Source organism: Homo sapiens, chromosome 9 (genome assembly GCF_000001405.40).
Source record: "Homo sapiens chromosome 9, GRCh38.p14 Primary Assembly".
In the NCBI taxonomy this organism is placed as follows: domain Eukaryota; kingdom Metazoa; phylum Chordata; class Mammalia; order Primates; family Hominidae; genus Homo; species Homo sapiens.
In genome coordinates, this window is record NC_000009.12 from 80,142,200 (window position 1) to 80,159,795 (window position 17,596).

The window sequence follows — 17,596 nt, forward strand, 5'->3', positions numbered from 1 at the left end:
ATACATGCCCTGCTCTTGTTTACATTGCTGGTTTACACTGTTTTTCCAAGCCATCACAGCTGATATCTCCTGGTGCTATTCCCAAACTGCCACTCTTAACTCTTGAAGTAAATAAATAATCTTTGCTGGCAGGACTATGCTGAATCTCCTTAGGCACTCTCTAATCAGATATCCTGAGTCGTCCCAATTCTTAGACCTTTTATACCTGTTTTTCTCCTTCTGTTATTCCATTTAGTTTCTCAATTCATCCAAAACCGTATCTAGGCCATCACCAATCATTCTATACAACAAATGTTTCTTCTAACACCCCCACAATATCACCCCTTACCACAAGACCTCCCTTCAGCTTAATCTGTCCCACTCTAAGTTCCCACGCTGCCCCAATCCCGCTTGAAGCAGCCCTGAGAAACATCGCCCATTCTCTCTCCATACCACCCCCCAAAAATTTTTGCTGCCCCAACACTTCAACACTATTTTATTTTATTTTTCTTATTAATATAAGAAGGCAGGAATGTCAGGCCTCTGAGCCCAAGCCAAGCCATCGCATCCCCTGTGACTTGCACGTATACGCCCAGATGGCCTGAAGTAACTGAAGTATCACAAAAGAAGTGAATATGCCTTGCCCCACCTTAACTGATGACATTCCACCACAAAAGAAGTGTAAATGGCCGGTCCTTGCCTTAAGTGTTGACATTACCTTGTGAAAGTCCTTTTCCTGGCTCATCCTGGCTCAAAAAGCTCCCCCCACTGAGCACCTTGCGACCCCCACTGCTGCCCACCAGAGAACCCCCCTTTGAGTGTAATTTTTCTTTACCTACCCAAATCCTATAAAACGGTCCCACCCCTATCTCCCTTCGCTGACTCTCTTTTCAGACTCAGCCCACCTGCACCAAAGCTTTATTGCTCACACAAAGCCTGTTTGGTGGTCTCTTCACACGGACACGCATGAAACTGGCCCTACTGCATCTAGGGTGAAAGACGGAGCTGAATAACTTTCTGTGAGGCTAAATTTCTCCCTTGCAGTGGTCCTAGACTCAAGTGACTGTTTGTGTGACAGTTAGGACATTTCCAGGACAGCCTTTAGGGGGATTATGTGGCTGTTTCCCCTAGAGCATATGCAGCTTTGCGTCCAGTGCTGATCTAACATAGTCTCACCTCTAACAAAGCAAGGGCCTCTAACTCTTTTAAATTTCCACCTTCCATATCAGAGATCTAATGTGAAAGTTCCTCACAGCTTTTTCTTGAGTTTTATTCTTTTCTCTCTCCTCACTTCCTCTTTAACAGATCTCCTCTATTCCCAAGGCAATCAAATGTATCAATTTGCTGGTGACTCCATAATTTGCGGGTAACTCAAGGCAGATCTCCCTTCTGATCTCCAAGGTGGGGTGTTTTGAAGAGTGGGGGCGATAGAAGTATAAAGTGTGTCTGGGTTCTTGATCTATTTTGAGTATACGGACAATGAAATGTCTTGGTTGCTGTAGAAAAAAGAGAAGTTGGTCGGATAAGGTGGCTCATGCCTGTAATCCCAGCACTTTGGGAGGCTGAGGCACGCAGATCGTTTGATCTCAGGAGCTGGTGACCAGCCTGGGGAACATGACAACACTCTGTCTCTGCAAAAAATACAAAAAAAAAAAAAAAAAAAAAAAAATTAGCCAGATGCGGTGGTGCACACCTATGGTCCCAGCTACTCTGGAGTCTGAGGTGGGAGGATCATGTGAGCCTGGGAGGTCGAGGTTGCAGTGAGCCGTGATCATGCCACTGCCCTTAAGCCTGGGTGGCAGAGTGAGACCTTACCTTAAAAAAAAAGAAAAGAGGAATCAGCAAGAATCTTAAGCTTTTTGCCTTGAGTAAATGATTGAAAAGAGTTTCCGTTTGAGGTGAGGAAGATTGTGAGATGACCAAGTTTGGCAGAGAGGGTCAAGAGTTTACTTTGAGATGCCTAGTAAGTCATCTAAGAGGGCTTGAGAAGGCAGGTCTCTATTGGAACAGAGAGAAAGGAGAGAGTTCTGACAGTGGTCAACACAGAATTCATGGGACAGGACAAGGTCACCAGTAGAATAATATAAATGCATTAGGTATATTTGTATAATGTTTGTATGTTTCAAACATTATATACCATTTATTTATAATATTCACGTAGATACGTATATGTCTAATGTAAATGCATGTAATCTATGTTAGTAATATTTCCGCGTCTTAGGATCATATTGCATCATTACTTTTAAAAATGGTTGTATGATTTACACTCCCTTTGTTGGTCTATAAATATATCCATTTCTCTCTAGAACAGTGGTTTTTACTTTGTTATCACAACCCAAGTGGGTTTAAGATACCCAGAAACTGGTGAAGTGTTGTATTTATCTGCAGGCCAAAAGATGGCAGTTCTCCAAGATTATGAACAGTTCAGAGATGTTTAACCTCATATATATGAGATGAGCTCAAGGGATTTTTGCCTTGAGTTTAAAAGATTAACTCCAAGGGAACTATCCTTGTTCAAATAGCCACTGTGAAAATCTTATGGAGATTGGGGTGACACACTTCTCCAGGGCTAAAGAAGAGACTCAGTCTCCCTGATACTGCCGCACGCTAAATTGTGAGCAGCAATAAGAAAACCAGAAAATACACTATTTTAAGACGATGGATTTCCACTTATAAATAGGTAATGGAGTTTCTTAAGTCCATTTTTTTGTTATCATTACACCAGGTCATTATAAGCCCGTATTTATGACTGACACAGATTTGGTAAATAGATTAGTGTCCCTTTGGCTAGTATTTTCTCTGCCCTGTGCCCCAGTTACCCCATTCCTTTACATTTACCATGCCTGGGAGTTAGGCTGGTTTCCTACGAGCTTGGGAAATGAGTCAATGATTGTTAAGTGATCATTCTCTCCAGGACAGCATTTTCAAGCTTGGGGAAGTAGTTGAAATTTATAGTAATACTATACCTTTAGAGAGCATCTTTCTCTTAGGAACTTGCTGTATTTTACAGGCATTCAGCTGGACTCTCCCCAGGACTCAGGAAAAACTGGTAACAGTAATGACATATACAAATACCTATAAACTTTAATGATAGGGGCAGCTACTGTCCTAGGAAGGAAAATGTCTACTTTGAGTGTAGTATTTCTGTTTGATGCAAAACGGCTGAGAGACTCCACTGTTGCAGCCTGAGCATCTCCCCCAAACCCTAGAGGCTGAGCTGCATTGTGGCACTGAGTGGATTTCCCTTTGCAAAATATTAGAGGGAAAATAGTTCTCATCGGTGCTGTAATGTGGGGATATCACCCTACAGATTGCAGGTTCAACAATTATTTATTGAGTGACTCCTAAGCCGGGTCCTCTTGTGACAGACCTAGTCCCCGGCCAAATGCCTAGATTCTAAGACATGATTCCCAACCATGCACCCACAAAGTCTTGCTAGGTGGGCTACATGACAATTGACTGAGGAGGTAATGTAGTAGAGATTCCAGAGTCCTGCCTCTAGTAGGTCTAGGTGGGTTCCAGGGTTTTGCCTTCTTAACACAATCCATTTAATAAAAAAGTGATTTCATTGAGCTATTGTATCCAGGAGTTCTTATTGATTTGTTACATATGATAGCATTATACTGTCAACAATTTGGAAAAAGTAAGCTGTAGAAGTACCATATTGCTGAACTGGCAGGAGGTAGTATTGTGCAGTGGTAAAAGTTAGATTTTGGAATTAGACTGTTTGAATCCCTTCTTTTCCTCTTACTAATTAGGTGACATTTGGCAAGCCACTCAAGAGCCTTAGCATCAGCTTTAGCATACAGTTATCATTTCTATTTTATAAGTTGTTTTGCTGATTAAATAAGATATTGGATGAAAAGTGTGACAATGAGTAGCCTATTAATGGTGGTTATCATTGTTGCTATCATTCTTGGTAACTCAAAAGAAAATCAAACCATCCATATGCATCTCCCAATTAAAATATGGGCTTCTCCCTTATCACCCCATAGTGGCAGATATCAATCAGACATACACACACTCATACTTCCATAAGTGGAAATTATGACCCATAGCTCATCTCAAATAGCATTCTCTTTTTAGTCTTAGTCTAATTTTTTTGTTTTAAGGTACAAGTTAAAAGAAGACAATCTTGTTCACATATGAATTCCTAGGTTATATTTCCTCTAAGAAAATGTTGGTATCATTAGCTTTGAGTTTTTCTGAGCAAGGGCATAGGGCCTCTTATATAAAGACCCTATTCATGATTGTATCCAATGTTAGCATGGAAACACTGATCAGACAATATATTCTATTCTAGGATCCTAGATTTTTCTCCTGAGAAAGACAGGAAAAGTGATGAGACACTTCCTGAAAAATCAATGGACACCACGTAAAAACTGCAGGAGAAAGATCCCTTAAGATTTTTTATGATATGTGGCTTGCTGCCTATTAGTTTTAGCCAGTACCAGTTACAACAACACATGCCCCCTAGGGGAGAAAAAGAATGTAAGTTCCAAGACAAAATGCAGAACAGAGCCTCCTCCACTGAGCCAGGAAGGAGATGGTTAACAGATCTAGGATTCTTTCCCTGTTAACATCATCTGTGAGGATGTTTTATAGACCCAGCAAGTAAAACAGGCCAGGTTCCCTTTAACACAGCTGAGGCTACCAGCCTCTGGAGGGATTCTGCAAATCATCCCTCTTAGTTCTATGTTCTTCAGAAGGCAGAAGGAAGGGGGCAAAAGTTGGAGAAAGCAACCAGGGAGGAAAGAGGTGGGGAACAGATGTAAACAGTAAGAAAAATGCACCTAGCATTTATCAACATATTTTAAAGACTGGTTTCACAGATGTCTGATCTAAAAAGTGTGCAGTAGGCATTTTCTGCTGTTTGTCACCATGTCACCATGATTTTAGCATTTTTAAATTTCTACCATACTGTATTTAAAAATGTTCAATATTTCATTTATTCATTTACTCACTCATTCATTCACCAAAAATTTCTTGAGGCATTTTCTATAAGACAAACAATGAGACATTAGAGCACATACATGCCCCTTATAGATCACAGTACAATTGGGAGGTGGAGACATAGCCAGATAATTATCCTGTGGTTAGATATGTATGAGAGCAGAAGCTGCCAGGCCTGGAAACAGAACTTAAATGATTTGGGAAAAGTGAAGAACATTTCCATGTTGATGGGCCATTGGGCCATTGGGTGGGCAGGAAGGGAGGGGGCCTCTCACTGGGATCATGCTGGAGAGAGTAGACTTTATCTCATGCAAATAGGGAAAATACTGAATTTTCTATTTGTTAGGCAGAGAAATGGTATGTTCATTAAGTAGTTTACACATTTTTAACAAAATAAAGGATAGAGATCACGGGGACAACGGTGAAGAAGAAATCAATTAAAAGGACATGAACACTAACTAGAAACCTGCCAACCTGCAGGCAGAGTGCTGGGTGCTTCCATAAAGAAAATTATTTATGAAATTCACACACCCCCGACCCCAAACTGCTATGTAGCAATAATTCCTTCCATATCCAGATAAGAGAGTTGAGGCTGGTCAAGTTTATGCAACTGGCCCAAGCTGCCAAGTTAATAAACAGCTGCTGTAGAATCCAAACCTAAGGTTCTCTGATGTGAAAAGCCATACTCCTTACTCTCTCAACCATGCTGCCCAGGAGTAAATTGCACCAGGTCAGGATTTCACAGGGTTTGAGGGATGATGAGAATCTGTCAGTAACTTAAAAGAAGGCTTGAAACAACAAAGTGAAATACAGTCTAACTGCAACAGTTGAATAAGACCCCAATTCTTAATCTTCCTGTCACAGAAGACAAGGAAGGATGGTCGGGATTAACACAGTTGGCAATCTCAGCAGCCCGCCATCAGCTGCACACTCCAAGAACACACAGAACAGCACTTAGTCCTACCCAAGCCATTGTGACTGACAAGAGAAGTGCTCTGTCTTCTGAGCATGCACAACACGGATGATTTTTCCACATGAATTATTCATTCAAAGCTTCCAACAAAAAAATTTCATTGCTTTTCATTCAGCAAGGGGGCTGTGAGGAGGGGGATTAGAAGTGTGGAGGTGATGGGAAGGAAGTTGACGTTACTTAACAGACAGAGGTGCTATAATAAAAAGCTTTAAGGCAACAGTTACTAAATAAAGGAAAGCCTACTCAAATATGCAATTTAAAAAGAATAGAAATTGATTGGTGAAAAAAAAGTCAGGGATCACAAATACAAGTTGGTTTAGTACCTAAGGTATGAGAAGAATGTAAAGAAGAAACAACTTTCTGAAGATAGTCATGGTTTCTTAAAAAGTCAAATAATTACTAAAGATTCAAATGAACTCTTTGATGAACACTGAATTGCATGCCGTAGTATCACTGGGAAATTTACTAGCCATAAGAAATCTCAGGCAGATGGTGTTTTAAAATTGTTTTCCTCCCAAAGGAAAGAGGCAATTCAGGAATTGTCTTTCAAGGATATCTTTAGGACACATAAATAAAACAGACAGTAAAACATAAATCAGAAAAATTAAGGGCTTATATGACATAGGGCTTAATATATCAAAATCTTACAAATCAGTCATAACACTTTAAACTTCTTAATTAAAATGGGGTAAGGATATTAACAAATAACTCACAAAAAGAGGATATCAATTGGTCAATAAAATTTTACATGAAAGAATTCCCAAAAGCAATAATCACAGAAATTCAAATGAAAAGAATAATTTCAGATACTACTTATTTAGGCAATTCAATTGGCTGTTTTTATTGTATTATTATTTATTTTAATTTTAGATTCAAAGGGTACATAGCAGGCTTGTTACATGGATATATTGCGTGATGCTGAGGTTTGGGCTTCTACTGATTCTATCTCCCAAGTAGTGAAAATAGTACCCAATAGGTAGTTTTTCAATCCTTGCTCTCCTTCCTTTCTGCCTTTTGGAACCCCCAATGTTTTATTGTTCCCATGTTTGTGACCATGTGTCCCCAATGTTTAGTTCCCACTTTAAGTGAGAACATGCAGTATTTTGTTTTCTGTTTCTGTGTTAATTTGCTCAGAATAATGGCCTCCAGCTGCATCCATGTTGCTGCAAAGGACATTATTTCATTCCTTTTTATGGTTGTGTAGTATTCCATGGTGTATATGTACCACATTTTCTTTATCAAATCTACCTTTGATGTACATCTAGGTTGATTCTATGTCTTTGCTTTTATGAATAGTGCTGTGATACATGTACAAGTGGTGGTGTCTTTTTGGTGGAATGATTTATTTTCCTTTGGGTATATATACAGTAAAGGGATTGCTGGGTTGAATGGTAGTTCTGATTTTAGTTTGTTGAGATAGTTCTATTTTTAGTTATTTGAGAAATCTCCAAACTGCTGTCCACAGGAGCTGAACTAATCTGCATTCACGCTGATACGGTTTGGCTCTGCATTCCCACCCAAATCTCATGTTAAATTTTAATTTCAATGTTCGGGGATGGACCTGGTGGGAGGTGATTGGATCATGGAGGCAGATTTCCCCCTTGCTGTTCTTGTGATAGTGAGTGAGTTCTCATGAGATCTGGTTGTTTAAAAGTATATAGCACCTCCCCTTTCACTCTGTCTCCTGCTGGCCATGTGAAGATATGCTTGCTTCCCCTTTGCCTTCCACCATGACTGTAAGTTTCCTGAGGCCTCCTAGCCATGCTTTGTGTACAGCCTGAAGAACTGTGAGCCAATTAAAGCTCATTTCTTTATAAATTACCCAGTCTCAGGTAGTTCTTCATAGAAATGTGAATGGACTAATATACCCATCAACAGTCTGTAAGTGTTCCCTTTCTTCCACAACCTCATGAACACCTGTTATTTTTCTTTTGACTTTTTAACAATAGCTTATATTAGCTGGTGTGAGATGGTATCTCATTATAGTTTTGATCTACATCTCTCTGATGATTAGTGACGTTGAGCATTTTTTCATGTTTGTAGGCCAGTTGCATGTCTTCTTTTGAGAAGTGTCTGTTTATGTTCTTTGCCTACTTTTTAATTAGGTTATTTGTTTGTTTCTTGTTGATTTAAGTTCCTTATAGGTTCTGGACAGTGTCGTTTGTCAGATGTATAGTTTGCAAGTATTTTCTTCTGTTTTGTAGGTTGTCTGTTTACTCTGTTAATAGCTTATTTTGCTATGCAAAAGCTCTTTAGTTTAATTAGGCCCCAATTGTAGTTTTATTTTTGTTGCATTTGCTTCTGAAGATGTAGTCATAAATTTTTTGCCTAGGCCAATGTCTAGAATAGTATTTCCTAGGTTTTCTTCTAGCATTTCTATTGTTTGAGGTCTTACACTTAAGTTTTTAATCTATCCTGAGTTAATTTTTATATATCATAAGAGGTGGGGGTCCAGTTTCATTTTTCTACATATGGTTAGCCAGTTTTCTTAGTACCACTTATTGAACAGGGTATCCATTCCCCATTGTTTATTTTTGTTAACTTTGTTGAATAGTGGTTGATGTAGGTGTGTGGCTTTATTTCAGGTGTTTCTATTTTGTTCCATTGGTCTATGTGTCTATTTTTGCGTCAATACAATGCTGTTTCAGTTAGTATAGCCTTGCAGTACAGTTTGAAGTCAGGTAATGTGATGCCTCCAGCTATCCTTTTTGCTTAGGATTGCCTTGGCTATTTGGTCTCTTTTTCAGTTCCATAAGAATGTTAGAATAGTGTTTTCCTGATTCTGTGAAGAATTAGGTTAGTAATTTGATAGGAATAGCATTGAATCTGTAGATTGATTTGGGCAGTATGGACATTTTAATGATACTGATTCTTCCAGTCCATGAGAATGGAAGGCTTTTCCATTTGTTTGTGTCATCTATGATTTCTTTCAACAGTGTTTTGTAGCTTTACTTGTAGAGATTTTTCATCTCATTGGTAAGAGGTATTCCTAGGTATTTTACCTTTTTTGTGGCAATTGTATATGTGATTGTACTGTTGACTTACTTCTCAGCTTGAACCTTATTGGTATATAGATATGCTGCCAATTTTTATACATTGATATTGTATCCTGAGACTTGCCAAAATTGTTTATCAGACCAGGACATCTTTTCGAAAATCTTTAGGTTTTTCTAGGTATAGAATCATATTTTCAGTGAGGCGAGATAATTTGACTTCCTCTTTTCCTATGTGGATGCCTTATATTTCTTTGTCTTGCCTGATTGCTCTGGTTAGGACTTCCAGTACTGTGTTGAATAAGAATATCGAGAATGGATATCCTTTGTTTCTTCCAGTTCTTAAGGAGAAAGCTTCCACTTTTTGCATATTTAGTATGATGTTGTCTGTGGGTTTGTCAGAGATTGTTTTGATTATATTGAGGTATGTTCCTTTGATGCCTAGTTTGTTGAGGGTTTTTATTGTAAAGGTATGTTGGATTTTATCCAAAGCTTTTCCATGTCTATTGAGATGATCATACATTTTTTTAAAAATTAGGTTTATGTGTTGAATCATATTTATGGATTCATGTACATTGAACCCTCCTTGCATCCCAAGATTCAAGCACACTTGATGGTGGTGAATTAACTTTTTGATGAGCTGCTGGATTTGGTTTGCTAATACTTTACTGAGGATTTTTGAGTTTATATTCATCAGGGATATTGACCTGTAGTTTTCTTTATTGGTTGTGTCTTTGCTAGAATTTGGTGTCAGGATGAAACTGGTTTTGTAGAAAGAGTTAGGGAAGAGTCCTTCCTCCTCAATTTTTTGGAATAGTTTCAGTAGGATTGGTACCAGTTCTTTGCACATCTGGTATATAGAATTTGGCTGTGAATCCATTTGGTCTGGGGATTTTTTTGGAGGGTAAGTTTTTTATTACTGATTCAATTTCTCATTATTAGTATTTTCAGGATTTCTGGTTCTTCCTGGTTCAATCTTTGGAGCTTGTATGTACCCAGGAATTTATCTATTTCTTCGAGATGTTTTAGTTTGTGCACATAGAGAAGTTCATAGTAATCTCCGAGGATCGTCTGTATTTTCCATGGGATCAACTGTAATGTCCCCTTTGTCAGTTCTGATTGTGCTTATTTAGTTCTTGTCTCATTTTTTCATTGTTAATCTAGCTAGAGTCTATCAATCTTGCTTATGTTTTCCAATAACCAAGTTTTTGTTTCGTAGTTCCTTTGTATGGATTTTTGAGTCTCAATATCATTAAGTTCTGCTCTGATTTTAGTTATTTCTTTTCTTCTGCTGGCTTTGGGATTAGTTTGTTTTTATTTTTCTAATTCCTTTAGGTGTGAGGTTAGGTTGATAATTTGAGATCTTTCTGTCCTCTTGATGTAGGCATTTAGCACTATAAACTTTCCTCTTAACACTGCTTTTGTCAAACGGCAATTTTTAAATGATACAAAATATTATCACTTTTTTTAAGGAAATGGACACTGTCACACATTATAGGCAAAAGTGAAATGAGCATATATTTCTGGAGATAATTTTGATAATAGCTGTATTAAAATTAAGAGAATTATATACACTTGCATTCAGCAATTTATGTGTAGGAATTTACTCGAGGAACTAATGAAAATAGTATGCAAATACTTGTGATTTATTGACTAGCATGCAATGAACATCTTTACTTGCAAGAACAAGGTTAGTACTGAACTTACCACTACACTGTGAAGTAGATATTATTTTAATCCTCATTTGACAAGAGGAGGGAACAGAACATCTTAGACACTAATTAATTTGCTCAAAGTAACCTACCTTGTAAGATATGAGTGAGAATGAATTAGAACTGATGTCTGCCTGCAGAGCCTGTGTTCTATTGTTTGAAGCAGAGCAGAAGCTTTCTTCAAAAATCTTCCACTTAACTGGTTTACCAGATTAATGGACAATCTTCATTCCCTCTGCAAAGCACACAGATGAATGCTCCCTGTATGCTGTGTGTCTGTCACTGGTTGGCATTCCTCTGATGAGCCCAAACTCTCTTGCTTCTCCAGCTGAGTCTGAGTTCTATGCTTACCAATAGCCGGTTGTGCTTCTCCCCATGCATTTATCGCAGGTATAATTATCACTATCGTTATTTAGTTTAATTAAATATTGTATAAATTCTTCGCCCCAGGTGAGTGTGAAAAGACAAGAGTTTTTGTTCCTATGAAAACTAAGTTAAATACTTTAAACAGATTCATACATTTAAACTGCTAAGAAAGAAAAAAAATAACTGTTGCTTTGAATTAAGTGGAAACAAGGCAGCTGTAAAATATTAAGATTTTATTAACTCAATATTAATCATTTTATAAGTAGTGACTTCATATTGTTTTAAAATTCCTACTCCTACTAATAAATAGCAAATACTTATGGAGCACTGTGGTAGGCAGAACAATGCCTCCTGAGAAGTGCCGACCTCCTAATTCCCAGGACCTGTGAATATGTTAAGGTGCATGGTAAAAGGAGAATTAAGGAGCTAATAGCTAACTATAAAAAAGGGAGATTATCCTGGCTTATCTGGGTGGGCCCAATGTAATTAGAAGGGTCCTTAAAAGTGGAAGAGGGAGACAGAAAAAGAGAGAGTTAAAAAATGTGATGACAGGTGCAAGTTCAGAAGTGTACTACCTAAGGACTGAAGCTGCACTGATGGCTTCGAAGGGGCAAGAAGGGGCCACAAGCCAAGGAGTGCAGACAACCCCTAGTGGCTGGGAAAATCAAGGAGATGTGATAACAGATTTCCAAAACATACAAAGAACTCTTAAGACTCAACAATTAAAAAAATGAACAACTCAGTTAAAAAATGGGCAAAAGTCCTGAACAGACATCTCTCCACAGAAGATATACAGATGACAACTAAATGGAAAGATGCTCACCATCATATGTAATTGGGGAATTGGAAATTAAAACAATAGTTAGATACTTCAACGTATCTACTCAGAATGGCTAAAACACATAATATTGACGAAATCAAATGATGACGAGGATATGGAGCAATAGGAACAGGAATTCATTGCTAATGGGAATGCAAAATGTTGCAGCAGTTTTTGGTGACTATTTCCTACAAAACCAAACATACTCTTACCATAGGATCCAGCAATTGCACTTGTTGGTGCTTATCCAAAGGAGCTGAAAACTTATGTCCACACGAAACTTATACATGTATGTTTGTAGCAACCTTATTCATAATTGCCACAACTTGGAAGGAACCAAGATGTCCTTCAACTGATAAATGGATAAATAAACTGTGGTACATTCATAGAATGAAATATTATTCAGTACTAAAAAGAAATGAGTTATCAAGCCATGAAACAACACGAAAGAAACTTAAATGCACATCACTAAGTGAAATAAGCTAGTCTGAATAAGATTCATACTATATTATTTCAACAATATGACACCCTGGAGAAGGCAAAACTATGGTTAGAGTAAAAACATCAGTGGTTGTTCAGGGTTAGGAGGAAGGGATAGATAAACAGGCAGAGCAGAGAGGATTTTTAGGGTAGTGAAACAACTTGGTGTGATAGCTATATGTCATCATACAACTGCCAAAATCCATAGAATATACATCACCAAGAGTGACCCTTAAAGTAAACTATGGACTTTGGGTGATATGGATGTGTCTAGGTAGGTTCATCAGTTGTAACAAATGTTCCAGTCTGGTGCTAGATATGGATGGTCAGGGAGGCTGTTTGAGGTAGAGTAAGGGGGTGCAGGCTGGGGCTATATGAGAACTTTGTACTTTCTACTCAATTTTTCTGTGAACCTAAAACTGCTTTAAAAATACTATATATATATAATTATATATAATATATTATATATAATTATATATATATATACACACACACACACACACACACACATATGTAATATTATTAGGAGACCTATTCTCTTAATATCTTACACAAGGTTCCCTGGAGTACTTGCCCCTTTAATGCATAAGTAAAAAGATCACAATTTATCATTTTTCTTCTGCCCTTCCTCATCAGCATCCTCCATGCATTGAAAAAATTTTAAACTTCAGTCTTTATGATCAGTTTTGCCCATCAATGACTGAGAATTAAATAAACGACCTTTGGGTTTTCATATCCCATTGCTGAAGTGTTTCTTGTTTTGTTCTTAGAATACATTTTCAGGTTTTTAACATGGCCTGTAAAAGCCTCTGTGATCTAGCACCCGTCTGCCTCTCTTGCCTCTTGCCCCTCCTCACTTTCATTCTTTGTGCTCTAACTTAAAAAATAAATGATTCTGTTATTTGAGAATGCTACTTTTATTTTATGTTTACCCCACCCGGGCTTATGCACTTGCTGTTCCCTCTTTCGGAACTATTCCCTCCCTCAGCAATTTGTTTTGCTTTGTTTTCTCAACTTCAAATGGAGCTGGTATCTGTCCAGTGTATTTCCCAGGCTATTGAGAGGTTTAAAAGTCAAATACATGATTACAGATTCTCTGGGGGGGAAAAAAGGTGCTAATTTAAAAAACTAATTGTAGACTTTAGCCCTGGAAACCCAACTTACTCCATGGGAACAGGAAAGTCACCCTGAAGCAGTTGCACCATCCAAATAGGAAACACCACTAGGAAGAATTAAGTGAAAGAGGAAACTAAGGGTAGTCAGCATGGGAGTGGTGATAAACAACATAGACTCTGGGCAGGTGCACTTAGGTCCAAATCATAACTCTTTGTGAACATTTGACATTTGACAATTAACCTCTTTAAGTCCTAGTTTCCTCCCTTGTAAAATGGGGAATATGACAGTCTCCTACATGTTAGGGTTTTGGTAAAGATTATGAGAATAAGCATTAAATGCTAATTCAATATTATGTGCATTATTACTATTATTATTATGAATTCTATTTTGCATATATTGAATTTAAGTGCCAGTAGGATATCCAGTGTGCAAGATGAAGCTGAGTATTTGCCTCTGAATTTCAGGAGCAAGATACGGGTGGGTAATTTGTACTTGTGAGTCATCAACGTATACATAGAACTTGAAATCCTGGGCATCAAAAAGATGACCTGAAGAGAGTGTGAAGACTGAAAAAGAGGTGTGGACCTTAACATCTAGGTGATGGAATTGAAAACAAGGCCGAGAAAATGTGACCTTTGGAAAAAAATCAGGAGTCTGAGATGTCACAGAAGTCAATGCATTTTATATTTGAAGAAGACAGATAGTTAATTTGGAGAAATCAGTAATTTAGTGACTCACCTCCACATTCTGGATCTGCCATGCATGTGAATAAAATTATGCCTGGGGAAAATGACAAATGGTTACATATTACGGACCTCGAAGAGTTTCTGGCAAAGTCAAATCTGTGAATAACCCATCTGTGAAAATCAAGAGTCTCATGAACTTTTGGGACCCCTGATATGATCTGTATGTCTCCTGAAACACAGCACTTAGTCATTTTTGTAGGACAACACTGTTCATGACATCACTGATAATAAAACTATCCAGGCATTAAAAATAAATTAAAAATATGGAATTTTTCTTGACTATTGGTTCCCTCAGCAGTAAAATATACACTTTGAGTTACATAGAGTTGTGGATGGTTTAATTAAAAGCTACCACTCCATGAATATTAGAGAGATAAGAAAACTGCAGCCAGGGGTAAGGTGCCTTATCTGAAAATGCGAACATAACAAAGTGGTAATGTTATCTTTTGAATTGGATTTTTAAATAGAGTAGCTGTAATGCCCCATAAAGCAACACTCCTAATTTGTAATGTAAAATTGTACCCCTCCTTTGCATCCCTTTGCTGGGTTCTAGTTCTGGCTGATAAAAGAGGACATGAAACTTGAAATAAGATCTTTGCATAACAAACACCTATGATTCATACCTGATGTGCAGAAAATGGCCATCTGCTAACAAGCACATGTGAGCAGCCTGGCTATTTGCTGAAATCTCATGGGTGGACCTAGGTTTAATCATACATGGAAGAGCAAAGTGTTTCTGTTCCCAAAGGAATCACCAGTCTCCATGGGCTAATGCGGAAGATGCTGGCAATAATGTAGTTACTGATAATTGCCATTTTACAGAGCTTGGATGGGTGGGGTCATTCAATTAGAAACGCCATGCTGTTTCCAATTCACCTGGTTGGGATCAAAAGGTGCTTTAGCTTGAAGTGAAATGAGAAAGAGAAAACCAGTCTCTCACCCCTCCTGGGCCACTAACCCTGCTTTCCTAGGCTTGCAGTGTTTTGAAAGCTGCTCTGTCTGGCCCTTGAAATTGCATTCAAATCCTTCTCTGAAAGTCCTCAGACAGTAACCAATCTCATATGGTGAGGGCAGCTTGAGACTGAAAAAGGAACATATAACTCTGATGGGTCTATTGAATATACTAGAAGGCATCTTAAAGTGAAATAATACAACTGGTTTCAAAAGCTACACTTCCCCCCCAAAAGTCAGCAAGGGTAAATTGGATGGGAATGCGTAAAAATTGAGTTCCTTGGGCTTTTTTCTGTGACTTGGTATCAGTAAATTTTCCTCAATCTCTTTTTATTTCCTGGCTTGCTAGCCTCCCATTCATGTGCTACAGTAGAATGTAAACAGCTGGTTCATTTGCAATCCATTATGACATTTATAATACTGCCATCCTCATAAAGACAAGGATTATTGTTAGGGATATGCTATTTCTAGAGTCTAACGACTTGTTATCTGACAGAGCGTGTATCCGGATTTTAAACTTATAATTAATCACAGTTTGGTCCACTTGAAACTGACCCAAAAAACACAAACATGAGAAGCTTTTTCATTGCTTATAAGAATAACAATTGAAACATGACTAATTTCTTGAAACAAACCCGCTCCTTTTGTCTCTTTGGGGTGAAAATATTATTTTTAGCCAGTTCCTAGATTTACACGAGCTGTACATTTTGACTCTGACACTTCCCTCCTGGTATTTATACTTTTTATTCATAAACTTGGACATTGACAAGGTATTGTAAATAGTCTTTCAAGGATTCCTATTTTAGGACTGGTGCACTAAAGAGGGAAAGATCAGTTGCCTCCACTGCTTTAAACCTTAATAGGTTTAAACCTCAGTCAGGGGAGAGAGAAAAAAAAGTATGTCTTTTTAACTAATATCCATGTCATCTTCTTAATCATGCTGATTCTGAATAATTCAGCCTCTATGGAAGTTGCAGAGCCAGAATCTATAGCTCTGTCTCTCTCAGGGGTGGTGGAGGGAGGAGTTTATTATTAACAAGTTTGACAGGAGAGAGCTCTGGCAGGTTAATTGCTACAGCAGGACTAGCTGGGAGTTTGCTGGTGATATATAGCGACGAAAGCGAGTGAAGGAGATTGACTATGCCTGTTACAGAACAAATATCTTCATGCACCTCAGGTTTCTCAGAAAGATATGAGAAATAAATGTTCGCTGTTCATTTTCTGTCTGCACAATAAAAATAGCCTCCAGCTAAACATGGCGACTACAGCACAGAGACTTAAAAAAAAAAAAGGAAATTTGCAAATTAACATTATTACAAACATTCCTGCCTGAAAGTGCTGAAAATCAATTTCAATATATTTTGCATTTTAATGAATTGCCAAAGAGATAAATCAGACAGTGTTTGAGGAATGCTTGCTTGGCAATGATGTTTTCTTATCGCATCTTGTCTTAACTGATAGCATTTAAAATGAAACCAGTGTTAATTGAAGGCGTGGGAAATGTAACTGCTAGTTAATGAAGTAAATGCATGCTAGTTATGCAGAATTAGAAATCTGCTTTAATGTACTAACTCTAACATTGTCTCCCTGTTCTGTAGCCTCCTCATTCCAAGGCAGTAATACTCAGTATTATAAATGGTTGAAAGGCAGAGCCCACGCTAGAGCTAAGGGCCATTGTGTTTTAATCCCCCAGTGGAAACAGGATGCAAATACTGTTGTTTTTACTTTACACAGTAAACAACAAATTTCAACTCCTGAGCCTTTGGGGAGCTTTAGGGGGAAGGCCGAGTCTCCCACTTCTTTTCTTCAAAGAAAATAAACAACATAACTTTTCAATCTAACATCTGTTTGCACTGTTTAAAATTAGGCAGCTGAAAGAGGATGTCAGTTTGCTAATGTTACCGAGGTTGTAGCTTTCTCCATGTCTTATCCATCCATGCTCAGCACATAGTATGTGCTCATTCAAATTTTACTAAATGAATGGAAGGATGGATAATTGTCCTCTTTTGATCTCCATGTCTCTAAACAACAGAGAAATCATTATATTTCCTAATCTGTATGTCTATGTGTTTAACACAACAAATAATAAACTAACACTTTCTAATAGCATGTAGAGAATATACGTGCATTTTTTTTCTTTATCTTCTGCAAGGATATAATCCTTCTGCAACTTCACATTGTTCCTTCTAATTGCTTTTCGCTATCCATTAGTTTTCTTCCTTTCTTTCTTTCTTTTAATTGTGTAAAAATAAATAAGGCAAACTATTTTTGGGGAAATAATTTCTTGAAAAGTAACAAATGACTCATCATTTGGCAAACTAAAATTAGGCAGCAACAAGGATGGGAATTTATATTTTCTTCTGCACCATAGAGTGTTTTAAGTCTGGAGGTGACTGAGGGGTTCTTTACGTTCTATCAATGAGACAGAAAGGCTTACCTTGTAAAACCATTTGGCCAATGCAAGATTTGTTCTCCGTAATGCAATTCTTAGGAGGGCTTTTTTTCCT

The 17,596-nt window shown here is 37.8% G+C and overlaps 2 annotated features.

The window, feature by feature from the left end:
• Nucleotides 220-1,031: an enhancer, noted in NCBI's record as "OCT4-NANOG hESC enhancer chr9:82757334-82758145 (GRCh37/hg19 assembly coordinates)". NCBI's record gives its function as "activates a minimal SCP1, AML or CMV promoter by ChIP-STARR-seq in naive and primed H9 embryonic stem cells {active_cell/tissue: H9 hESC(naive and primed)}" and the evidence as "EXISTENCE:reporter gene assay evidence [ECO:0000049][PMID:30033119]".
• Nucleotides 14,733-15,234: an enhancer, noted in NCBI's record as "OCT4-NANOG hESC enhancer chr9:82771847-82772348 (GRCh37/hg19 assembly coordinates)". NCBI's record gives its function as "activates a minimal SCP1, AML or CMV promoter by ChIP-STARR-seq in naive H9 embryonic stem cells {active_cell/tissue: H9 hESC(naive)}" and the evidence as "EXISTENCE:reporter gene assay evidence [ECO:0000049][PMID:30033119]".